The 26,914-nt window shown below is 41.3% G+C and overlaps 4 annotated features.

Moving 5' to 3' along the window:
* Positions 18,396–18,944: an enhancer, noted in NCBI's record as "OCT4-NANOG hESC enhancer chrX:137340649-137341197 (GRCh37/hg19 assembly coordinates)". NCBI's record gives its function as "activates a minimal SCP1, AML or CMV promoter by ChIP-STARR-seq in naive H9 embryonic stem cells {active_cell/tissue: H9 hESC(naive)}" and the evidence as "EXISTENCE:reporter gene assay evidence [ECO:0000049][PMID:30033119]".
* Positions 23,848–24,557: an enhancer, noted in NCBI's record as "OCT4-NANOG-H3K27ac hESC enhancer chrX:137346101-137346810 (GRCh37/hg19 assembly coordinates)". NCBI's record gives its function as "activates a minimal SCP1, AML or CMV promoter by ChIP-STARR-seq in naive H9 embryonic stem cells {active_cell/tissue: H9 hESC(naive)}" and the evidence as "EXISTENCE:reporter gene assay evidence [ECO:0000049][PMID:30033119]".
* Positions 24,096–24,390: a silencer, noted in NCBI's record as "tiled region #1368; K562 Repressive non-DNase unmatched - State 24:Quies". NCBI's record gives its function as "represses a minimal TATA promoter and a strong SV40 promoter by Sharpr-MPRA in K562 cells {active_cell/tissue: K562}" and the evidence as "EXISTENCE:reporter gene assay evidence [ECO:0000049][PMID:27701403]".
* Positions 24,558–25,265: an enhancer, noted in NCBI's record as "OCT4-NANOG-H3K27ac hESC enhancer chrX:137346811-137347518 (GRCh37/hg19 assembly coordinates)". NCBI's record gives its function as "activates a minimal SCP1, AML or CMV promoter by ChIP-STARR-seq in naive H9 embryonic stem cells {active_cell/tissue: H9 hESC(naive)}" and the evidence as "EXISTENCE:reporter gene assay evidence [ECO:0000049][PMID:30033119]".

Genomic DNA, 26,914 nt, shown 5'->3' on the forward strand with positions numbered 1-26,914 from the left:
ATAGGCTCCCAGCACTAATGAGGCTCACAGTCTACCACTATATCTGCCCTCAAATCATCAGAGTGGGAAGGAAGCCCTAGAGCCCTGCCGCCACCCTCTTCCCAATCTCCTTGAGTTGAGCTCTTCTGAAACAACGTATTGTGTTTCTCTATTAGATTCTGAATTCACTCCCTTTGTCAGGAACATAACCCTGTGACTGTGGAGAGATTACTGTATTTTCAGTTATACAAAGTCTAACGCTTTTGGGAAAAAAATAAGATGGACAGACACTATACTCAGACATGTAATCTTCTCAGCCAGGATGCAAGGCAGCCAGAGTGCAGTAATGGCCATCCATCTTCCCTAGCCCAACCCAAGAACAAACAATCTTCTCTAAAGCTTAAAGGCCTGAGAACAATTTACAGGGAACGTCTGCACTTGCTTTCTCTCCCCTACCCTATTCAGTGAAAGGCAATTCTGATGTGCAGAGAGGCTTCTACTAAGTAGATAATACAGCCACATTTTTCAAAAGGCCTGCCATGGCTTTTTATCCTCCACAGCATCTAATATCTGTAAAACACTTTAGATTAAAATGAATATAAAAAAAACAGCCTTACTCAGCACTTCCTTTGCTCTGCAGGTCAGGGAGTAGGATGAGAACAAGCCTCAGGGCTTTTAGGTTCACACTGGGATTCCCCTTCCAGATACCCCCCACCCTGCCCTTCACCGGCCAATAGCAAATAAGAAGTAGCACTGGCTTTGGAGTTGGGCATACCATTGACCTGTTGTTGAGCTTGGGAAGTCACTTCACCTCTCTGAGCCTCAATTTCCTTATGTTGATACTGGGAATAATAATCCTTCTCCCTCTCCCCATAGGATTATAATGATAATTAAATAAGATGACATATATAAAAGATTTGATACACAGTGGACACTCAACTGACAGATGTCCATCCTCTTCATGTCTCCCATCCCTGAAGACAGCCTGAGAGCAGATCCCTTCTCAAGGCTTACACTCTTGTTTTGACCTGTACTTACTTACTACTTCTCAATTCTTCATGTAACTAGGGAATTCCTCCTGACCTTCCTTTAGGTATTTCCTGCTTCATTCTGGTTTCCATTTTTGTTGTTAATTAGGAAGTAAGATATTCATGCAATATTAGTGCAACCCAATCAAAATGAGCACATTCTGTCATCATTGAGAATCTGCATAATTTAACTGATGCAAATCCTCCAATAATAGGAAAGTTTCATGTTGCATATGAAAAAAAATCTCTGATAATTAGCATCTTCTTGTCATCACTGTGTTCCGGCAGGCTGTCTGAATGGCTTAGGTCAGGGATTGGCAGCACTCCAAAGCCTCAGTCTGTTAGGAGTTCAGGCCTTTCAGTAGGTTGAAAGGAGGTAATTTAGGAAGGAGGAGAACTTTCAGCACTTCTCATGTCATACCACGTTGAGTGGCCTAAAAATTGCCACCCTCTGTGCAGAAAGCTCAAAAACATTTTCCGGTCACCATCTCTCCCCCAGTCAAACTTGCTTGCTTCATCTATTAAACTGGCATGTCTGTTGCTACCTTACTGTGTGACTTGGGAAACTCTCCTCACTTCTCTTTGTGCCAAACTTCTCTTAATTGAATAATCTGGAGAAGGGCCAGAAGAAATCTGGAATGTACTGGATTTGGATTATTTCATTGTCCTCATCTCCACTCACCACTAACATCAAAAAACTCTCTAGGTAACTTAAACGGCAGCAATACAGGTCTTTATTGGCAGGATATCAGGGTGATTGCAGATTCAATGGGAGGCTGTAGACCTAGGTTAGGAAAGAGACTGGAACCTGGTGAGAAGTTATTTGGGCTCAGGGTGCTGCTGCTTGCATGGATCAATCCCAGTCATATATATTTTGTCTTTGGATCAGTCTTTGTAAGACTGAAAGTGCTGGGATGCAAAAGCAAATGCAATAAAAACAAAGATAAATAGCTGGGACCTAATTAAACTAAAGAGCTTTTGCATGCCAGAAGGAACAGTCAACAGAGTAAACAGACAACCCACAGAGTGAGAGAAAATCTTCACAATCTATATATCTAACAAAGGACTAATGTCCAGAATCTACAATGAACTCAAACAAATCAGTAAGAAAAAACAAACAATTCCATCAAAAAGTGGGCTAAGGACATGAATAGACAATTCTCAAAAGAAGATATACAAATGGCCAACAAACATGAAAAAATGCTCAACATCACTAATGATCAGGGAAATGCAAATCAAAACCACAATGTGATACCACCTTACTCCTGCAAGAATAGCTATAATAATAAAAAAACAAGAACAACAACAACAGTAGATGTTGGCATGGATGCAGTGATCAGGGAACACTTCCACACTGCAGGTGGGAATGTAAACTAGTACAGCCACTATGGAAAACAGTGTGGAGATTTTTTAAAGATCTAGAAGTAGAACTACCATTTGATCCAGAAATCCCACTACTGGGTATCTACCCAGAGGAAAATAAGTCATTATTCGAAAAAGATCCTTGCATGTGCATGTTTATAGCAGCACAATTCACAATTGCAAAATCATGGAACCAACCCAAATGTCCATCAATCAATGAGTGAATAAAGAAACTGAGATATATACATGATATATATGATATACACATATATCTACATATGTATATAGATGTACATCTATATACGTATACAGATATACATATATATGAGATATATATATATATATATATATATGTATGATACACACACACACACACACACAATGGAATACTACTCAGCCATAAAAAGTAATTAATTAACAGCATTTGCAGTGACCTGGATGAGACTGGAGACCATTACTCTAAGTAACTCAGGAATGGAAAACCAAATGTCATATGTTCTCACTGATATATGGAAGCTAAGCTATGAGGATGCAAAGGCATAAGAATAATACAATGAACTGTGGGGACTTGGGGGGAAGAGTGGGAGGTGGACGAGAGATAAAAGGCTACAAATATGGTGCAGTGTATACTGCTCGGGTGATGGGTGCACCAAAATCTCACAAATCACCATTAAAGAATTTACTCATGTAACGAAATACCACCTGTACCCCGATAACTTATGGAAAAAAATTAAAAAATAAAAAATAAATAAACAAATTAAAGGAAAGTGCGGCCAGGTACGGGGGCTCACACCTGTAATCCCAGAACTTTGGGAGGCCAAGGCGGGTGGATAACAAGGTCAGGAGATCGAGACCATTCTGGCCAACATGGTGTAACCTCGTATGGACACAGGAAGGGGAACATCACACACCGGGGCCTGTTGTGGGGTGGGGGAAGTGGGGAGGGATAGCATTAGGAGATATACCTAATGTTAAATGACGAGTTAATGGGTGCAGCACAACAACATGGCACATGTATACATATGTAACAAACCTGCACATTGTGCACATGTACCCTAAAACTTAAAGTACAATAAATAAATAAAAATAAAAATACAAAAATACAAAAATTAGCAAGGCGTGGTGGCATGCAACTGTAGTCCCAGCTACTCAGGAGGCTGAGGAAGGAGAATCGTTTGAACCTGGGAGGTGGAGGTTACAGTGAGCCGAGATCTTGCCACTGCACTCCAGCCTGGGCGACAGAGTAAGACTCTGTCTCAAAAATAAATAAATAAATAAATACATAAATAAATAAATAGTGCTGGGATGGAGAGCCTAGCTGTCTGCATTTAAGCCACCTGGATAGACTGGGGCATTTGGAGCAAAGGCAGGACAGAAGGAAGCTTCAGGCAGCTTTTTGAGTTCCACAGTGAGAAGGAAGGCTTCCCTGATCATCTCTGCAACTTCAAATAGCTTGATTAAGCTATTCTATTTATTAATGTATTAACAAAAACAAAATCTCTTGGCTTTCTACTTTGTTGGTTAAGATGAGGGGCCTGAACCTTCCCTTATCTCCTCACCCCCTTCCTCCAGCTGTGTCAGCTTGTTTCTTCACTTTTGATATTGTCAAGGTAGTTAAGGTTTATGCTTTGTCTTGTAATCATGAGAAAAAGAAAAAAGAAGGAAAAAAGGAAAAAATTCTTTTTATTTATTAAAAGTTTCTTATTATCTTCTATTTTTAAAGGCACTGTTGTGTTTAGTCATTCCTCTATTCCTCCTAGTTAGTCTTTGCTTTTCAAATGATTATTTTCTTTTATTTGTAATTCTTTCATAAGTTCTGTCACTTTCTTTCTGAACATTTTAAATCATGATATATATTGTTCTTTCACATATTGTTTCATTTTTTAATATCTTGTAGCTTGTTTAAAATAATAAGTTATGATTTTGATCTGTTTTGTGGGCATGTCTTTCTGGCATGCTTTCATCGTCTCTGGGATGTTATGCTTCTTTTTTCATATAATAACTTTGTATGAGATTTGGCTCTGATAAACTTTGGTTTGCTCATTTCTATGTTAGATTAATTTTATGTTGTTTGGTGAAGTAGTCACAAATATAGTGGCTGGCTTTCTGAGAATCCCTGGCTTTCTCCTCTCTCTTATTTTGATCTGAAACCTTTTACCTTTGTCTCTGTTGTCCTTCTTCTGGTCAATTTTGATTCCCCCACCATCGATTTTAAAGCCCTGGCCAATCATGTGGAGAGTTCCTAGGAGTTATACTGCCTCAGTCTCTTTAGTAGTTGATATGGTTTGGCTCTGTGTCCACACCCAAATCTCATGTCAAACTGTAATTCCCACATGTTAGGGGAGGGAACTGGTGGGAGGCTATTGGATCATGGGGTCAGTTTTCCCCATGCTGTTTTCATGATAGTGAGTGAGTTGTCACGAGATCTGATGATTTAAAAGTATGTGGCAATTCCCCCCTCACTCTTTCTTTCCTGCCACCATGTAAGACGTTTTTCTTCCCCTTCACCTTCCACCATGATTGTTATACGTATTGTGATACGAAGAAGTTATACGATCTTCACCTTCCACCATGATTGTAAGTTTCCTCCCCAGCCATGCAGACCTCTGAGTCAATTAAACCTCTTTTCTTTATAAATTACCCAGTCTTGGGTGGTTCTTTATAGCAGTGTGAAAACAGACTAATACAGTAGTCCATTCAACTTTTCAGTTATACGATCTCACCTATGTAGGTCATTTGTTTTCCTCTGTTTCTAGGGAGACTTCTGCCCACTCACTCTAACTCAGACTTTATAAATTGGTCTTGTTTCAGGCCTACAGTGCTATCCTAGGAATCTCCTTTACTATTCTTCTAGGGTAGATCTAATGTCTTCCTCTTTTATGATTTATTATCTTATTTTGATGAATTATATCTGCAAGGAATGTTCTAAAAATGGGTTTTAGAAAGCCATACTTTCTGAGTTCTTATGTATCTGAAAAAATCTTTCTTCTACTGTGAGGTTTGACTAATAGTGTCAATAAGATAAAATTCAAGTTTTCCATAGACCTTTGTATATATATCTTCATTGTAGTTTAGTTTCCAATGTTGTTGACGGGAGGTCTGATGGCACTCTGATTCTTGTTCCTTTATAGGTGACCAATTCTCTATCTCTGAAAGCCTTTAGGATTTTCTCTTTATCTTTGTGGTTCTGAAATCTCTCAGTAATGTCTGTGCAAAGGGGAGTCATTTTTCCTTCGTTTTTGAACACTAAATGGGCCCTTTTCATCTGAAGACTTATGTCCTTCCCACTCTGGAAAATTATTATTTATTTTATTCAGGAACAATTTCCTTCCTTCCATTTTCTCTATTCTCTTATTTTGGAATTCCATTTAGTCAGCTGTTGGACCTCCTGGTTGGAGTTTCTAAAAATCAATTTTGTTGAAATATTATTCAGCTACAGAAATATACACTTATTTTGTGTGCATTTTAGTGAGTTTTGACAAAATGTATATGCCCAGGTAACCACCACCACCACAGTCAAACTATAATGTATTTTTATGATCATAATTTTTTTCATGCATCTTTGCAGTTATTCTCCCCACCTCCAGCTCCAGTCAACAACTGATCTGCTTTCTGTCACTATAGATCGCTTTGACTTGAGGTCATATAAATGGGATTACATAATGTGTATCTGGCTACTTTTGTTTAGCTAATTTTTAAAACAGTTGATCCATGTTGTTGCACATATCAAAAATGCATTGTTATTGCTGAGTAATAGTCTATTTAATGGAAGTACCAGAATTTATTTATCTGGATTGACTTTTTAAAATCTCAGAGTTTAGTAGCTCAGAGTATGTGCTCTGGAGCTCCTGAACTTTACCCTCCGGTATCACACTTGTGATTGTGTTATGTTACTTGGCAAATGGGACTTTGAAGATGTCATTCGGACTACTAATCAGCTGACCTTAAGATAAAAATAAGTATTCAGGATTATTTGGTGGGTGGGGCAAATATAATCACATGCACTTTTAAAAGCAGAAAAAAAAAGTCAGAATAATGTGGCAGAAAGGAAAGTTAGAGAGAATTAAAGTGTGAAAAGGATTCAATGTGCCTTTTCTGGCTTTGGAGATGGAGGGGAGCATGTATCAAGAAATGTGATCAATCTCTAGAAGGTGAAAATAATCCCAGGCTGACAACTAAAAAGAAAATGGAGACTTCAGTCCTACAGTCTCAAGGGACTAAATTCTGCCAATTATATAAATGAGATTGGAAGCAGATTATTCCTAGAGCTTCATAATTATAGCCCAACTGACCAACAGCTTGATTTCAGCTTTGAGAGACCCTAAGCAGTGGACCTAGATGGGTCCTGAGAACTGCCTGCCTCAGAGCAAGCATAATATTAAATGGTGGACATTGCTATTATCATTTTTGTTCTTTTGTATTCAACTTTCTGGGAAACTGTATCAAGTTTATCTTCTAATCTTCTTATTAAATGCAATATTTTGACAATTATTTTATTTTTAGAATGCTTTTTTTGCTGTCTGACCATTCCCTTTCCATAACACCCTGTAAATCTTCTGTTTCTTGAATTATCTGGTTGCTAGCCTTTTAAAAAATTTGCATATTTTGTCTTTCTTATTCATATTGCATGCTTTTCTCAACACCCATTGACCTTTGGTTTTGCATTAATATTAAAAAAGTAATAGAAAAACTGACTGGAAACTCAAGGCATATGGGATTTGGGGCTTATCACCCGGCTGGCTTTGCCTTTGGTAAGTGAGCAGAGAGCTGCCATTAGGCAGGAGTCCTTTGACATCTCCCAGTCCAGACCCTTTCTATGGTATTGGCAAACAGATAAGTTCCTACCTAAGCTGCAGCTGCCTCTGCACAAATTCTAAGCTGTGTTTTCCTCTGTCCTACAACAGCTGCCAATTTTTTTAAACTGCTGTCTTCCAGAAACTTGTTCTTTCTTATCCACTGATGGTCCTTTTTCTCGTCTTGTTGGTGTTGAATATTCATACCTATTTAATATTTTAATGATTTTAATTATAGAGCTAATTTTCATGGGCTTTCCAGATGCCCAGCCTACCATGTTGAACCAGATGCCCCCTGTCTGCCCTCAATCCCTCTTAACATGTGACCTTGCCTTTTCTTTCCCTGAGAAAATAAAGGCTTTCTGACTTGCTACTCTCAACTTCCAGCTCTTATAAATTTGCTTCCACACCCATACTCACCTCTTTTTCTCAGAAGAACAGATGTCTCTTATTTGTCCAGAAATAATCCTCTACCTCCATGCCCTTATACTTTTGGTCATAAGAAAATTAGTAATTGGTGACTCTTTCCTTTAACATATCTTCTCAGAAAACAGACAAAATAAGCTGTGTAAAACAATGGTAAATTCACTCTGCTCTTCTTGGAGAGACTGTTCATGTCTCTTGCCTGTGATTTCAAATCTTTCCACCTGCCAATTTGAGTGATAGGAGAAAAGGTAGGCAGCCACTTAGTATTTATCAGGGGTAAAATACAGAAAGGAGTCAATTGCATCCATGAATGATGTGTCTATATATTTCTAGGTGCAGTCAAGCACAAAGCTTACTCCCACACTTCCAAGCCTACAATTAAAAATATATTAAAAATAAGGATATTTCTTTTACTTTAGCTTTGGTCTTCTATCTTACAGCTGCAATTTCCTCACATGGTTACACTTGGCATATATCCTCATTACCACCTCTCTTTCTCACTCAATGTTTGTAGATTATTTGAAGTAATCCTGAGTAGAATAGAAGAAATCAAAATGTAAGGCAAGAGCATGTTTCAAGAAAGAGTAGAGGATCAATAGCATCAAACTATTCAGAGGTTGAGGAGGATGGAACTGAGAAAAAATGCCATCAAATTTGGTAACATGAGATCATTGGGGATCTCAGTGAGAATTGTTTCTAGAAGTTTTTTTAGATCAGAAGACCATAATGCAGGAGGCTGAGAATTAAAAGGCATGTTGAAAGCCTGAGATATATCTAGATGAAAGAGAAAGGAAATGGGAGAAAGCAAGAGTCAAGAAGGAGGTTACCTCTAAAATGTGGATGATTGGAACATGTTTGTGGGCAGAGAATAAAAAGCCAGTAAAGAGAGGGCCAGGGTGTATGTGGAAGACCAAAGAAGAGGAAACCAGTCTTTTTCTGTCCTTAAATTTGGTCGTTTACCCACATTTCTATCTTTAGTCTTCTTTTTTATACCTACACACTCTGTCAAGTGTTTCAGCTATCATCATAGTTTTAATCACTATCTATCCATTAGTAAACCCTCCATCTTCAGCTCTAGCTTATACCTCACTCACAACTCTCAGTTCAACATTCTGGATTACTTATTGGGTATGGATGTATTGCTAGCCCTCAAAGTTAGTGAGTCTCAAAATATACTTCCCTGTGCCTTCAGGTCTGTTATTTCCCTTGACTTCTCTTTCTGTGAAATATTCATTTTCCAGGTGCCACTGAGATAAATTCTGCATTTTCTTTGCTTTATTTATTTTCCTCATTCTCCTTATCCAGTCATTCTTCAGATCTTGTTAAGTTTCCCTTCACAGTGACTCTAAAAAATACTCCATTCTTTTATCTTCATCTTCACTGCCCCTGCCATATAACAGCCTCTCGTAATTGCTCATATTTACTGTTGGCACCTCTGCCTCTAGTCTTATCCACCTTTATTTTATCCTCCACACAAGTATCAGTGCCTTCTTTCCTAAATACCACTTTCATCATACCACTGCCCTACTTTAATCCAACCATCCAACCAACCAACCAACTAACACCTACTGTGGTTCTCAGTACCTTTAGTAAAGTAAAAGTCAATTACTTATTTTGGCAGTCAAGGTCCTTCACAATCTTGTCCCTGACTTCCTTTAAAACTTTGTATTGTGTTCATCTCCAAAGGACCTCCTTCACTCCACCAATTTGAAATGGCCAAAATGCTCCATTTGCCATCTCTGTACTCATGCTGTCATCTAAATTGAAATGTAGTTCTTTCACTCATTCTTACCATTTATTGATATTCTTTCCATCCATTGCAGCCTAATATAACCCCCACTTGCTCCATCTACCCTTATGCCCAGTAACAATGTTAGGAATACAAGGCTGAATTCAATAACTTTTTTCCATTCTTCACCAAAAACTATTGCAATAAGCTGAATGTTTGTGTACCCCTAAAATTCATGTGTCTAACCCTAATCCCAATTGGATCATATTTGAAGGTAAGGCCAAACGAGAGGTAATTAGTTCATGAGGGTGGGGTGGGGCCCTTATGAATGAGATTATTGCCCTTATAATAAGAGGCCAGAGAACTAGCTCGCTCTCTTTCTGCCATGTGAGGAGGACACAAGGAAAAGTTGCCTCTCTGCATCCTGGAAGAGAGCCCACCCCAGAATCTGACCATGTTGGCACCCAGATCTCAGACTTTCAATCTCCAGAGCTGTGAGAAATAAATTTATGTTATTTATAAGCTCCCCAGTTTATGGTACTTTGTTTTAGCAGCCTGAACTGACTAAGACAATGATCTATCTCATCTTCTAGAATCCCATAATGGCAACACTGTAAATTCCTTCAAGTATTATCTAGCCCAAGTTTCTCACTGTTTAGAAAATCAGGCCCTTGGGCTGGGGGTGGTGGCTGACTCTTGTAATCCCAACAATTTTTGAGTTCAAGGGAAGAGAATCATTTGAGGCCAGGTGTTCAAGATCAGCCTGGACAACACAGTGAGACATCATCCTTACAAAAATACAAAAATTAGCTGGATGTGGTGGTGTGTGCCTGTAGTCCCAGCTACTGGGGAGGTTGAGGTGGGAGAATCACTTGAACCCAGGAGTTTGAGGCTGTAGTTAGATATGATCCAGCTACTGCACTCTAGCCTCAGTGACAGAGAAAGGCCTTACCTCTTGGAAGGAAGCAAGGAAGGAGGGAGGGAGGGAGGGAGGGAAGGAAGGAAGGAAGGAAGGAAGAAAGAAAGAAAGAAAGAGAAAGAGAAAGAAAGAAAGAAAGATGAAGTCCAGTGAGAAGTGTCCTGCAACAATAACACAGTAAATTGATGACTTAAGGTGTGTCTAGAATCCAGATCTCAAGCATCTTAAGCCACCAAGGCATTGGCCACTGCCCCAGCTGATTTCCCTATTATTTATCCTATGTTTCTTATGTGTTGCTGCCTTAGAGTGTAGATATAAAGTTGATTCTCATATCCTGTTTAGTACTGAGTTTTAGGAGAGCAGGTGATATTTCCTCTACTCCTCTGAATTCCCCACAGCACTAAATCTATTGTTTTGGACAGAATAGTCACTAAGCAAATATGTATTGATTGAACAACAAATAATACATCACAACCTGAGATAAACCATCAATTTCCACTGTCTCATTAACATATTCTACAGAGTAAAATTAGTAATAACCTTGGGTCCTTGAGCAGTTACGATAACAAAGCACAATACTCCAATATAGGCAGGAAAACTTGAAGACTCAATGTATATTTGATAAAATATTTGAACAGCAGAGCTGGAATTTCCCCTTGAAGGTCATCTTACATAGCAGTCTCCTCCTTTCCCACATTTTTACTGATGGGAAAATTGAGATTCACAGAGTGACAAAACTTCCCCAAAATGTGCATAAATGCACAGTAAATTAATGATGTCGTTACTAGCAGAATTAAATCTCCAAATTCCTGGGCCAAATTTTCCATAACCCAAAAGAGCAGGTTGCACACTATAATGATTATATAGTTAAAGACATGGGGTTTAGAGTCTGACTCACCTGGCTCTGCCACTTGATTAAGTTAATTAACCTAATTGAGTAAGCCTGAATTTCTTTATTTTCAGTAATAAGCCTGCTTGTGGAGCTCTGAGGCCAATTGAGAAGTCAGCACTCTCTATATAGTCTGTAGTGCTGCCTATATCATGCCTTTAGTCTGTGTCTTCTGAATCGGATGGAGAAGATCCAACCACTAGCTTCAGCCCAAGACCATACAGGCTCCTGAAAACACTAAGAGTAACATATGGCCCATACTGTGTCGTACTTACTTTGAGACACTAGAGAATAGGTATTGAAGTAATAGGACAGCACCCTTAGGAGTTGTCACTCCTCCATGACATACCTATTATGAAATTGTCAACAATGCCACTGAAAGTCGCTGAGTAGAGGATGACATCTTGTCTCCAAGGTACTTAATTAGAGCTGCTTAATGCTAGGATAGCTAGAGGGACTCTAACGCCTTACTGTAGGGAAGGTAGAGAACAGTCTTCCAGAATAAAATATTTAGCATCAACCTTTGAGTAGCTGTGGCTACAGGGACAGAGCTGCTTGGAGAAAGCTATGACCTCCAAGTAGAACTCTGTAGGGTTCTACCTCTAAGTAGAGTTCAGACAGAGCAGGGCTGGGTCCTTAGACACCAGAGACACTTTTAAAAAGTCATGAAAGGTCAAGTCTGCTGGGAAGCATGGGAGGCAAGAGAGAAATTTCTTCTGTCTCTGATTTCTATACTTTCTTGTAAAAGACTCCTCCGATTAGATCAGACCCACCCAGAATAATTTCTCTTTTGAGTAACTCAAAGTCAAACTGATTGACGACTTTAGTACATCTACAAAGTGTATTTTTTCATCTTTACCATATAACATAACCTAATCACGGTTGTGACACACATCATATTCACAGATTCTGCCCACACTCAAGGAGAGGGATTATATAGCAATTGGTAGAAATATTGGAGACCATCTTCGAGTTTTGCCAACCATAGTCTTCCCTCTGGCCACCAATGACTCACATCCCTTCTAAGTGCAAAATGCATTCACCATGTTCCTACGAGTTTCATCCCATCGTAGCATCAGCCTGGTGTCTCATCATCTAAATCTAAGTTTTATCCACTTGTCAGCTGAAAATCCAAAATCTCATCTAAATCTCGTCAGCTAAGAGATCAAAATCTCATCATCTAAATTATGTATATTAGGTACAGATGGGGCTTCCTTTCCATCTGTTGAGTTCTTTACACACATTATTATATTTAATTCTCAAGACAATCCTCTGAATAAATTTTCATCATCTTCATCTTATAGATAAGGAAACTGGAGCATTGAGAAGTTAACTAACTTACCTACAGTCATTTAGAGATTAAGTTTCAAAGCTAAATCTTGAACCCAGCTATTTGCAAGTTTGCTAACTATACTAATCTCCAAAGAATAATTTTCTGAAGCCCTCTTGGCAAATAGGGGCTCTTAAATGATCATTCACATCCACAGTAGCCAAGCTTTGGAGGCCATTAAGATTCTCACACTGGAGCGCTAAGTATCAGATAGCATTACTAACATCTTAGAATTGATTATTTTGCCAGGATATATTCCAGTGGCATAGGTGAGCATTGGGTTAGGGAAAAGTATGAATTAACGAGAGGAATGAAAAAATGTTAGTAACCCCAATTACATGATACAAGAAGAAAAAAAGCGGATGAGAAATAGATATGTGCTGGCTTCGGTCCTGTCATGACTTCTTATGACTTTGGGCAAAAAGCTTTTTTCTTTTTGAGCCTCAGTTTCTTTTTATGTAAAATGAGGAAGATACGTTTGAATGCTAGATGATCTCTAGGTCACTTACAAAAGCCTGTAATTCTAACAAGAGGAGCAACCAACAATGCAGGTAAATGTCATGATCTGGCATTTGATAGAGAAAAGAGACATGGCTATTTGAATTCCATGACATTGTTCTTAAACAGAAAATGCTTAAGCATATGGACAACCATAGCTTTGACTTCAGAATATGTGATGGAATCCTACAAAATATTGCAAGGGTAAATCCCAGTACCTTTGAGGAACAAAAGTGATACTTGAGCCATCGATGATCATTATTCAGGCCACTATATTTCTGAAAAACAGGGTCATGAGGAGTGGTGAACAAAATGAATGAATCTCCATGAGAAGTGGATATATCCTGGAGTGATCAGGTTGAGGAATACCAGAGCCCCTGAATGCTTGGGCAGATGAGAGGGAGTTGTGTGCATTTGAATACTAGGTTAAATTGGAAGAAATGCCTCCCTGTCATCACTATACCTATCCAAAATAACCATTCACATCATGCAATTCCCTTCTCTCCACTCACAAAACTCTAAAACCTGTTTTCATTCATTCCACAAATACTGATAATACAACTCCTTTGTGCTGGGCACTATGGGAGCATATAACAATTTATAAGATATAGTCTAGAGCCAAATTATTTATTATGATATCAGTCCTTTGATGTTCCACAAATTATCTAAGACATTATTCATCCTTCAAGGTTGAGGTCTATTGTTGCCTCTTCCATGAATTTTTTCTCTGGTAAGTGGTGCTGGCTGCCTTTCCTCTTCCCTTACTGCCCCTTCCTTCCCCTCCTTTACCCTCTCTTTTCAGCTCTTTCTGTGACTTCTTCATATAGAGTAGTCCCCGCTTATCCACAAGGGATAAGTTCTAATATCTCCAGTGGTTGCCTGAAACCGTGGATAATACTGATGTCTATATATGCATTGCCATACAGTACCAGAGTTAATTTGCCCTTCCACGTTTTATGCCCTGGTGCCTCCTTTGCACTTTTATGAATGTTAAGTGCTGTTGGGCATCTTCATCGCAATTGAAACCTTGCTTTGCGTGGTATCCTTTCTCCTTAATCAACTTCTTCAACTCAGCCAAATGTGGCAGCAGATTCTTTGTTGGCAGATGCAGCCTCTCCAGTAAATTATGTCTTTTTCAGGCCAAATCTATTCCTGAATCTGCGTAACCATCCTTTACTTGCCATAAATGGCTTGGTGTCACTAGTTTTGGGAAATCCCTTGCTGAAGTCTTCATATAAGCTCAATGCTTTCTGGTGCAACATGTTGCTGTCAATCAGAACATGCTTCTATTCATGGCTTCCACCTACAAATGTAATGTCTATTCCACCTGAACTAAGCACTTATCATGCACTATGGCAGTAACTTTTTAAGTTTAGGGTGACACAGCAAAACTAACACAAATTTATTTTTCCTTCTTCACAATTTCACGGACAGAATATTTGTTCTTACCATAAATCTTAGCAACCTCAGCGTATATCTTTTTTCTTTCTTTATTAAGTTGAGAAATTTCACCTTTTCACTTAAAGGGAGGAATTTATGGCTTCTCTTTGGCACACCCAAATGGCTAGCATCACTCCTTTTGCACTTCAGGGCCCTTATGAAGTAAAATAAGGGTTACTTCAACACAAGTACTGCGATACCTGCACACTCAATGTGATAATCAAGAAAGATATTAAGTGACTGATGGGCAGGTAGCATCTACAGCAAGTATCCGCTGGATGATGGGATGATTCACATCCCAGGCAGGACAGAGTAGAACAGTGTGAGATTTCATAATGTTACTCAGAATGTTGTGCAACTTAAAACTCATGAATTGTTTATTTCTAGAATTCTCCATTTAATATTTCCAGACTGCAGGCGACTGTGGGTAACTAACCCACTTAGAGTGAAACTACAGATGGAGGAGACTACTGTATTTTGGGACCTAGAAAACCATACCCCAAAGTATGGCACTTTGGCATGCTGAGTATTTTGCATTAAAGGAGTATTTTGCATTAAAGGATGTTGGAAGGCCTCAATAGCAGTCTCAGAACAAAGATCTCTCGGACTGTCTCTTGGCCTCTTGTCTCCTGCCCCTCATTCTCCCCTGAAGCAAGTCATAGACACCTGAATTCCTTTTCCTGAAGGTGGGTCATAGAAACTAGAATCCCTTTTCCCCAAAGCCAGCCATAAAAACAAAATTATTATTCTAACATTCTCCTACCTTTCTAAGAGCTGGCCATAAAGAAATTCTCTGACCTACCCTAGTCTGATTATAGGTCATAAGACCCTCATTCCAGAAAGGTCTTGCCACATACACAGGAGAAAGAAATGTTTCAATCCAGAGACCGAGGAGAATCTGAACAAACTGACCTTGCTGTGTTTCACCTCTCGGTTTACTAGCATTCGATCATATCATTTTCTTCCCAATTATATTTCTACACAGCTGTCCGTTCTTCATTGAACCTAAGCATAAAAATGGATAGTTTTCCCTGTATCTTTGGGTCTTCATTCTGAAGACTCCCATGTCACATAAAACTGGCTAAATAATTACGTCATGCTTTTATCTTTTTCACCTGTATTTTGTTATAGGAATGCCATCCATGAGCCTTATGATCATATCTTTCCACCCCTACAGTGTAATACTTGGCACTACCTATCTTATGCTCTAGATCGTGTACATAAGTGTGATCTCCACTAGTAGTCTGTGACAAACTTGAGAAGGGAGTATGTTATGTTTATCACACAGTAGGTGCTCAGTGCTGCAAGATATTTCTGAGGCTGACCTTTAAGGCATTATTCAGAATAATAATCACTATCATTACTGTTTAAGGTATGGTGCTGAAGGTGCTGAACATTTTACATTCATTATCTTATTTAATCTTCATCATAATTGTACAAGCTAAATTGGGCTATTAAAATAATGCAGTTCCTATAAGAATCCAGGTCTGCCTGATTCTCAAACCTGTTTAAATACCATGCTAATTTATCTCCCAGAGTATTGAGTATTGCCCTGTCATTCTTTACAGCTGCTATAAATACAGTGTCAGTTAAAATATAGGTCTTCCTAGCCTTGTTTAGTTCCGGCAAATACTGAAATAAATTTGCATTCATTAAGCCCACACTAACTACTAGTTCGGGTATGGAAGAGGGGGAGTGGAGAAAAGTAGGATGAAAACAATCCTGAAAGGTAGTGGGACAATATACCATTGCAGGGAAAATGATCTTCCAGGGTCCCCAGAATCATCAAATCCTGAGGTAACAGAAGAAAAGAAAACAGCCAATGACAAAATGATTACATTTTGTCCAACCACATGCTTGGAGATTGTTTTTTATGAAAGAGCAGAAGAGGGAAAGCCCTTAACCAATATGCTCAGCTTCCTTGACTACTAAAGGGAAAGCCAGAGGGTCTCAGTTCCCTGAACCTTACCCCACAAATCTCTATCACCTGCAGTAGGAACCAGCCAAGACCAGCATTGGCTCCCCCAAAGAAAGTGGCACCCCAGTGACAGACTTCATTTGACACTTAAAGATTTTTATCAGGTTTGTGACACATGCATGAATTTTTGACAAAAGATGTAAAAATATTTTCTAAAATCCAACCATTACTTGTTAACAAAAAGCACAGAGCAGCTTTTTGAACAAACACCACAGTGACCCTTCCATATGAGCACTCTTTCTTATGCAGGAAAAAATGGATTCTTTCTCCATATATTTACAGCAGGAGTAAACTTAGGACTTTACAAAATCCATCTATAAATCACATTTTAATGCCGCATATCAGATACAAATTAGATCCTCTCCCAGTTTTCTTAATAGTTTATATTACAATCACTTTTCCTTGCTCATATTTTATATGAACAATTTTTAATTTGTCTGTAGGGCTGTTTTCAATAAATCATTTGATGGTGCTCAGCTTGCATTTCCCAGCATTCTATGTGCTCACATACTCAGCTAGTTCTGGAACTACCCAAGATTATTTTTCAATCCTAGGCACTTGGAGGACAGTAAGGAGCTCCCTCTTCAAATGCATTTTATCAGCTGCAAAACAGATAAACCACCATATAATGCATTGTTAATATGTAAAGATGTATGTGCACAGACTTTGATTGTGTAATCAAACTGTGGGAGGTGAAGGGTAAACCTTGGGGAAAGTATTTTCCATTTGTCAGAGATGCTGAAAGATGGAAGGTGCTGATAGGGTTTTGGCTTTGTCAAGACCTTTAGAAATTCACATTCTCCAGAGTGTAAAATTTAGCTCTACAAAGAGGAAGAGGCTTTGTCCTTTCTGAATGATTCTGCTGGCTTTTCAGAGGTACAAGCAAACTGAACACCGCAGGGGATCAGGAGAAAATGCCACTGAAAGGAATGAAAATGTTCAACTGAGACACTCAAACTTCACTGTTCTGGAAGAAGGCATACTGCCCTGAGAGTGGGGAGGGTCATAGTCATATTTATCCTCATTCCAAAATGCAGGTACCCAGAAACCAGATATAGTCCCTTCATTAAAGCTGGTATCCTGTGCTCACTTAACAGGCTTGGAGTTGAGGACAGTTGAAGTAGAGGTACATTGCGCATGTGGAAAGGCAGACACGGGGCAGAGATTCAGAGAGGCAGTAAGGTCAATATATTTTTCAGCATTTTCCAGGTCCGGCCTAAGGTCAGTGTCTAGAACTGGACACTGACTATGGTTAAAACCACGTCTTCATAGTCATACAGACCTAGATTTAAATCCTAGTCTAGAAACAAAGTATGACTTTGGGCAAGTTATTTAAACTCTCTCCTTCTCAATTACATCATCTTATAACAGGCATAATTATAGCCGTTACCTCCTAGGGTTTTAGTGGTGAGTTAGTTAAGATAAGGTGATTAGAACAGTACATAGCCCAGGGTGAGTGCTCAATAAATAGTGGCCATTATATAAATTAGACTTTAGGGAAGGACAGGCAAGGAGGGATCTAGAGCTGGAGAACATGGCTAACCAGACACCAGGCAGATCAATGTTCGATCTGAGAGCTTTAGTTCAGTTTCTAGAACTTTGTCATCAGATTAGAGTAAGATTTTATGCTGAAGTATCTGACATGTTTAACCAGGACTACCAGAATACTCCGTATTATTTGGTAATGATTTTCTGGCCTTGCTGAGTTGAGGGGTAGGGTGAGAACTCAGCTCGTCCAGCTATAGAGAGAAGGAATCCAGAGGGGCAGAGCACTAGACACCTCGCCATCTTTGCAGCAGCCAAAATATTGGCAGGGACACTTCGATCCCCTCATATTTCTCATTCTCAAATCACCTCATCCAAGCCGTCATGAACTTTTGCCTGAATTATAGCATTGGCTTCCTAACCGGTGTTCCTGTTTCCACCTTTGCTTCCTTTCCTCCAAATCTCTTCTCAAAATGCACACATAGTAATCTTGCTAAGCAATGATTCTCAGCCGATAACACACAGATTAGAATAACTTGAGGAAGTTTTAAAAATACCTTATTCCAAAAACTTGAATCAGACCCTTTGGTGTAACATTTTACTTCATTGCTCATACCCTTTGGTATCTTTCTTTCTCACTCAGAGTAAAAGACAACTCCTTAGAAGGGTCTGTATAATCAGGTGGTTGCCTGTTTTTCTGACTTAATCCCTGTCAGACCTCTGAGCCCAAGCTAAGCCATCATATCCCCTGTGACATGCACATACACATCCAGATGGCCGGTGCCTGCCTTAACTGATGACATTCCACCACAAAAGAAATGAAAATGGCCTGTTCCTGCCTTAACTGATGACATTGTCTTGTGAAATTCCTTCTCCTGGCTCAAAAGCTCCCCTACTGAGCACCTTGTGACCCCCACTCTGCCCGCCAGAGAAAAACCCCCCTTTGACTGTAATTTTCCTTTATCTACCCAAATCCTATAAAATGGCCCCACCCTTATCTCCCTTCGTTGACTCTCTTTTTGGACTCAGCCCACCTGCACCCAGGTGATTAAAAGCTTTATTGCTCACACAAAGCCTGTTTGGTGGTCTCTTCACACGGACACGCATGAGATTTGGTGCCGTGACTCAGATCAGGGGACCTCCCTTGGGAGATCAATCCCCTGTCCTCCTGCTCTTTGCTCTGTGAGAAAGATCCACCTACGACCTCAGGTCCTCAGACCGACCAACCCAAGAAACATCTCACCAATTTCAAATCCGGTAAGCGGCTTCTTTTTACTCTCTTCTCCAACCTCCCTCACTATCCCTCAACCTCTTTCTCCTTTCAATCTTGGCACCACACTTCAATCTCTCCATTCTCTTAATTTCAATTCCTTTCATTTTCTGGTAGAGACAAAGGAGACATGTTTTATCTGTGGACCCAAAACTCCAGCGCTGGTCACAGACTGGGAAGGCAGCCTTCCCTTGGTGTTTAGTCACTGCAGGGACACCTCTCTGATTATTCACCCACGTTTCAGAGGTGTCAGACCACGCAGGGATGCCTGCCATGGTCCTTCACCCTTAGCAGCAAGTCCTGCTTTTCTAGGGGAAGGGGCAAGTACCCCAACCCCTTCTCTCCGTGTCTCTACCCCTTCTCTGCTTTTCTGGGGGAGGGGTAAGAACCCCCAACCCCTTCTCCTTCACCCTTAGTGGTAAGTCCCGCTTTTCTAGGGGGCAAGAATCCCTAATCCCTTATTTCCATGCCCCGACCTCTTATCTCTGCACCCCAATCCCTTATTTCCACACCCCGACCTCTTATCTCTGCACCCCAATCACTTATTTCCGTGCCCTGACCTCTTATCTCTGTGCCCTATCCCTTATTTCTGCACCCCAACCTCTTATCTCTGTGCCCAAATCCCTTATTTCCATGCCCGGACCTCTTATCTCTGTGCCCCCATCCCTTATTTCCGTGCGCCAATCTCTTATGTCTGCACCCCAACACCTTATTTCTGTGCCCCAACCCCTTTCCCGCTTTTCTGGAGGGTAAGAACCCCCGAATCCCTTTCCTCCATGTCTCTACTCTCTTTTCTCTGGGCTTGCCTCCTTCACTATGGGCAACCTTCCACCCTCCATTCTTCCTTCTTCTCCCTTAGCCTGTGTTCTTAAGAACTTAAAACCTCTTCAACTCTCACCTGACCTAAAATCTAAGCATCTTATTTTCTTCTGCAATGCTACTTGACCACAATACAAACTCGACAGTAGTTCCAAATAGCCAGAAAATGGCACTTTCAATTTTTCCATCCTGCAAGACCTAAATAATTCTTGTCGTAAAATAGGCAAACGGTTTGAGGTGCCTGATGTCCAGGCATTCTTTTACACATCGGTCCCTCCCTAGTCTCTGTGCCCAGTGCAACTCGTCCCAAATCTTCCTTCTTTCCCTTCTGCCTGTCCCCTCATTCCCAACCCCAACCATCACTGAGTCTTTCTAATCTTCCTTTTCTACAGAACCATCTGACCTCTCCCCTCCTCCCCAGGCTGCTCCTCGCCAGGCCGAGCTAGGTCCCAATTCTTCCTCAGCCTCTGCTCCTCCACCCTATAATCTTTTTATCACCTTCCCTCCTCACACACAGTCTGGTTTACAGTTTCATTCTGTGACTAGCCCTCTCCCACCTGCCCAGCAATTTCCTCTTAAAAAGGTGGCTGAAGCTAAAGGCATAGTCAAGGTTAAATGCTCCTTTTTCTTTATCTGACCTCTCCCAAATCAGTTAGCATTTAGGCTCTTTCATCAAATATGAAAAACCCAGCCCAGTTCATGGCTCGTTCGGCAGCAACCCTGAGACGCTTTACAGCCCTAGACCCTAAAAATTCAAAAGGCCGTCTTATTCTCAATATACATTTTATTACCCAATCTGCTCCTGACATTAAATAAAACTCCAAAAATTAAATTCCAGCCCTCAAACCCCACAGCAGGACTTAATTAACCTCACCTTCGAGGTGTGCAATAATAGAGTAGAGGCAGCCAAGTAGCGACGTATTTCTGAGTTGCAATTCCTTGCCTCCACTGTGAGACAAACCCCAGCCACAGCTCCAGCACACAAGAACTCCAAACGCCTGAATCACAGCTGTCAGGGGTTCCTCCAGAACCTCCTTTCCCAGGAACTTGCTATAAGTACCTGAAATCTGGCCACTAGGCCAAGGAATGCCCAAAGCCCAAGATTCCTCCTAAGCCGTATCCCATACGTGTAGGACCCCACTGAAAATCAGACTGTTCAACTCACCAGGCCACTGGAACTCTGGCCCAAGGCTCTCTGACTGACTCCTTCCCAGATCTTCTTGGCTTACCGGCTGAAGACTGACACTGCCCGATCACCTCGGAAGCCCCCAGACCATCACGGATGCCGAGCTTTGAGTAAATCTCACAGTAGAAAGTAAGTCCGTCCCCTTCTTAATCCATACGGAGGCTACCCACCCCACATTACCTTCTTTTCAAGGGCCTGTTCCTCTTGCTTCCATAACTGTTGTGGGTATTGACAGCCAGGTTTCTAAACCTCTTAAAACTCCCCAACTCTGGTGCCAACTTAGATAATACTCTTTTAAGCACTCCTTTTTAGTTATCCCCACCTGCCCAGTTCCCTTATTAGGCTGAGACACTTTAATTAAATTATCTGCTTCCCTGACTATTCCTAGGCTACAGCCACACCTCATTGCCACCTTTTCCCCCAGTTCAAAGCCTCCTTCACATCCTCCCCTTGTATCTCCCCACCTTAACCCACAAATATAAGACACCTCTACTCCCTCCTTAGCGACTGATCATGCACCCCTTACCATCCCATTAAAACCAAATCACTCTTACCCAGCTCAATGCCAAGATCCCATCCCACAGCATGCTTTGAAAGGATTAAAGCCTGTTATCACTCGCCTGTTACAGCATGGCCTTTTAAAGCCTATAAACTCTTCTTACCATTCCCCCATTTTACCTGTCCTAAAACCAGACAAGGCTTACAGGTTAGTTCACGATCAGCACCTTATCAACCAAATTGTTTTGCCTATCCACCCCATGGTGCCAAATCCATATACTCTCCTATCCTCAATACCTCCCTCTACAACCCATTATTCTGTTCTGGGTCTCAAACATGCCTTCTTTACTATTTGGACCCTTCATCCCAGCCTCTCTTTGCTTTCACTTAGACTGACCCTGACACCCATTAGGCTCAGCAAATTACCTGGGCTGTACTGCTGCAAGCCTTCACAGACAGCCCCCATTACTTCAGTCAAGCCCAAATTTCATCCCCATCTGTTACCTATCTCGGCATAATTCTCATAAAAACACACGTGCTCTCCCAGCTGATCATGTCCAATTAATCTCCCAAACCTCAATCCCTTACAAAACAACAACGCCTTTCCTTCCTAGGCATGGTTAGTGTGGTCAGAATTCTTACACAAGAGCCAGGACCACACCCTGTAGCCTTTCTGTCCAAACAACTTGACCTTACTGTTTTAGCCTAGCCCTCATGTCTCCATGCAGCGGCTGCCGCTGTTTTAATACTTTTAGAGGCCCTAAAAAATCACAAACTATGCTCAACTGACTCTCTACATTTCTCATAACTTCCAAAATCTATTTTCTTCCTCATATCTGACGCATATACTTTCTGCTCCCCGGCTCCTTCAGCTGTACTCACTCTTTGTTAAGTCCCACAATTACCATTGTTCCTGGCCCAGACTTCAATCTGACCTCCCACATTATTCTGGGTGCCACACCTGACCCTCATGACGGTATCTCTCTGATCCACCTGACATTCACCCCATTTCCCCATATTTCCTTCTTTCCTGTTCCTCACCCTGATCACGCTTGATTTATTGATGGCGGTTCCACCAGGCCTAATCACCACACACCAGCAAAGGCTGGTTATGCTATACTACAAGCCACTAGCCCGCCTCTTAGAACCTCTCATTTCCTTTCCATTGTGGAAATCTATCCTCAAGGAAATAACTTCTCAGTGTTCCATCTGCTATTCTACTACTCCTCAGGAATTATTCAGGCCCCCTCCCTTCCCTACACATCAAGCTTGAGGATTTGCCCCCACCCAGGACTGGCAAATTAGCTTTACTCAACATGCCCTGAGTCAGATAACTAAAATACCTCTTAGTCTAGGTAGACACTTTCACTGGATAGGTAGAGGCCTTTCCTACAGGGTCTGAGAAGGCCACCGCAGTCATTTCTTCCCTTCTGTCAGACATAATTCCTCAGTTTAGCCTTCCCACCTCTATACAGTCTGATAACAGACCAGCCTTTATTAGTCAAATCAGCCAAGCAGTTTTTCAGGCTCTTAGTATTCAGTGAAACCTTTATATCCCTTACGGTCCTCTGTCTTCAAGAAACGTACAACAGACTAATGGTCTTTTAAAAACACACCTCACCAAGCTCAGCCACCAACGTAAAAAGGACTGGATAATACTTTTACCACTTTCCCTTCTCAGAAGTCAGACCTGTCCTCAGAATGCTACAAGGTACAGCCCATTTGAGCTCCTGTATAGACGCTCCTTTTTATTAGGCCCCAGTCTCATTCCAGACACCAGACTAACTTAGACTGTGCCCCAAAAAAACTTGTCATCCCTACTATCTTCTGTCTAGTCATACTCCTATTCACCATTCTCAACTACTCATACATGCCCTGCTCTTGTTTACACTGCCAGTTTACACTGTTTCTCCAAGCCGTCACAGCTGATATCTCCTGGTGCTATCCCCAAACTGCCACTCTTAACTCTTGAAGTAAATAAATAATCTTTGCTGGCAGGACTATGCTGAATCTCCTTAGGCACTCTCTAATCAGATGTCCTGGGTCCTCCCAATTCTTAGATCTTTTATACCTGTTTTTCTCCTTCTCTTATTCCATTTACTTTTTCAATTCATACAAAACTGTATCCAGGCCATTACCAATAATTCTAAATGACAAATGTTTCTTCTAACAACCCCACAATATCACCCCTTACCAGAAAATCTTCCTTCAGCTTAATCTCTCCCACTCTAGGTTCCCACGCCGCCCCTAATCCCACTCGAAGGAGCCCTGAGAAACATCGCCCATTATCTCTCCATACCACCCCCCAAAATTTTCACTGTCCCAACACTTTACCACTATTTCATTTTATTTTTCTTATTAATATAAGAAGACAGGAATGTCAGGCCTCTGAGCCCAAGCTAAGCCATCATATCCCCTGTGACCTGCACATACACATCCAGATGGCAGGTTCCTCCCTTAACTGATGACATTCCACCACAAAAGAAGTGAAAATGGCCTGTTCCTGCCTTAACTGATGACATTGTCTCGTGGAATTCCTTCTCCTGGCTCATTCTGGCTCAAAAGCTCCCCCACTGAGTACCTTGTGACCCCCACTCCTGCCCGCCAGAGAACAACCCCCCTTTTCACCAAATTTCATGCACATCCCTGTGAAGAGACCACCAAACAGGCTTTGTGTGAGCAATAAAGCTGTTTATTTAACCTGGGTGCAGGTGGGCTGAGTCCGAAAAGAGAGTCAGCGAAGGGAGATGGGGTGGGGCCGTTTTATAGGATTTGGGTAGGTAAAGGAAGAAGGGGGGTTGTTCTCTGGCAGGAGTGGGGGTCACAAGGTACTCAGTGAGGGAGCTTTTGAGCCAGGATGAGCCAGGAGAAGGAATTTCACAAGACAATGTCATCAGTTAAGGCAGGAACAGGCCATTTTCACTTCTTTTGTGGTGGAATGTCATCAGTTAAGGCAGGCACCGGCCATCTGGATGTGTATCTGCAGGTCACAGGGGATATGATGGCTTAGCTTGGGCTCAGAGGCCTGACATTCCTGTCTTCTTATATTAATAAGAAAAATAAAACGAAATAGTGGTAAAGTGTTGAGACGGTGAAAATGTTTTGGGGGTGGTATGGAGAGATAATGGGCGATGTTTCTCAGGGCTGCTTGGAGCAGGATTAGGGGCGTCGTGGGAACCTAGAGTGGGAGAGATTAAGCTGAAGGAAGATTTTCTGGTAAGGGGTGATATTGTGGGGTTGTTAGAAGAAACATTTGTCATTCAGAATTACTGGTGATGGCCTGGATACAGTTTTGTATGAATTGAGAAACTAAACGGAATAAGAGAAGGAGAAAAACAGGTATTAAAGGACTAAGAATTGGGAGGACCCAGGACATCTGATTAGAGAGTGCCTAAGGAGATTCAGCATAGTCCTGCCAGCAAAGATTATTTATTTACTTCAAGAGTTAAGAGTGGCAGTTTGGGGATAGCACCAGGAGATATCAGCTGTGACGGCTTGGAGAAACAGTGTAAACCGGCAGAGTAAAAAAGAGCAGGGCATGTATGATTAGTTGAGAATGGTGAATAGAAGTATGACTAGACAGAAGATAGTAGGGATGACAAGTTTTTTTGGGGCACAGTCTAAGTTAGTCTGGTGTCTGGAATGAGACTGGGGCCTAATAAAAAGGAGCGTCTATACAGGAGCTCAAATGGGCTGTACCTTGTAGCATTCTGAGGACAGGTCTGACTTCTGAGAAGGGAAAGTGGTAAAAGTATTGTCCAGTCCTTTCTAAGTTGGTGGCTGAGATTGGTGAGGTGTGTTTTTAAAAGACCTTTAGTCCGTTGTACTTTTCTTGAAGACAGAGGACTGTAAGGGATATAAAGGTTTCACTGAATACTAAGAGCCTGAAAAACTGCTTGGCTGATTTGACTAATAAAGGCTGGTCTGTTATCAGACTGTATAGAGGTGGGAAGGCTGAACTGAGGAATTATGTCTGACAGACGAGAAGAAATGACTGGTGACCATCTCAGACCCTGTAGGAAAGGCCTCTACCTATCCAGTGAAAGTGTCTACCTAGACTAAGAGGTATTTTAGTTATCTGACTCAGGGCATGTTGAGTAAAGCTAATTTGCCAGTCCTGGGTGGGGGCAAATCCTCGAGCTTGATGTGTAGGGAAGGGAGGGGGCCTGAATAATTCCTGAGGAGTAGTAGAATAGCAGATGGAACACTGAGAAGTTATTTCCTTGAGGATAGATTTCCACGATGGAAAGAAAATGAGAGGTTCTAAGAGGCGGGCTAGTGGCTTGTAGTATAGCATAGCCTACCTTTGCTGGTGTGTGGCGATTAGGTCCGGTGGAACCGCCATCAATAAATCAAGCGTGATCAGGGTGAGGAACAGGAAAGAAGGAAATATGGGGGAATGGGGTGAATGTCAGGTGGATCAGAGAGATACCGTCATGAGGGTCAGGTGTGGTATCAGAAATAATGTGGGAGGCCGGATTGAAGTCTGGGCCAGGAACAATGGTAATTGTGGGACTTAACAAAGAGTGAGTACAGCTGAAGGAGCCGGGGAGCAGAAAGTATATGCATCAGGTATGAGGAAGAAAATAGATTTTGGAAGTTATGAGAAATGTAGAGAGTGAGTTGAGCATAGTTTGTGATTTTGAGGGCCTCTAAAAATATTAGGGTGGCAGCAGCCACTGCATGGAGACATGAGGGCTAGGCTAAAACAGTAAGGTCAAGTTGTTTGGACAGAAAGGCTACAGGGTGCAGTCCTGGCTCTTGTGTAAGAATTCTGACCGCACTAACCATGCCTACGAAGCAAAGGCATTGTTGTTTTGTAAGGGATTGAGGTTTGGGAGATTAATTGGACATGATCAGCAGGGAAAGCACGTGTGTTTTTATGAGAATTATGCCAAGATAGGTAACAGATGAGGATGAAATTTGGGCTTGACTGAAGTAACGGGGGCTGTCTGTGAAGCCTTGTGGCAGTACAGCCCAGGTAATTTGTTGAGCCTAATGGGTGTCAGGGTCAGTCTAAGTGAAAGCAAAGAGAGGCTGGGACAAGGGGTGCAGGGGAATAGTGGAAAAAGCATCTTTAAGATCAAGCACGGAATAGTGAGTTGTGGAGGAAGGTATTGAGGACAAAAGAGTGTACGGGTTTGGCACCACAGGATGGATAGGCAAAACAATTTGGTTGATAAGGCGCAGATCCTGAACTAATCTGTAAGACTTGTCTGGTTTTTGGACAGGTAAAATGGGGGAATTGTACGGAGAGTTTATAGGTTTTAGAAGCCCATGCTGTA

Source organism: Homo sapiens, chromosome X, assembly GCF_000001405.40.
Source record: "Homo sapiens chromosome X, GRCh38.p14 Primary Assembly".
Lineage (NCBI taxonomy): Eukaryota > Metazoa > Chordata > Mammalia > Primates > Hominidae > Homo > Homo sapiens.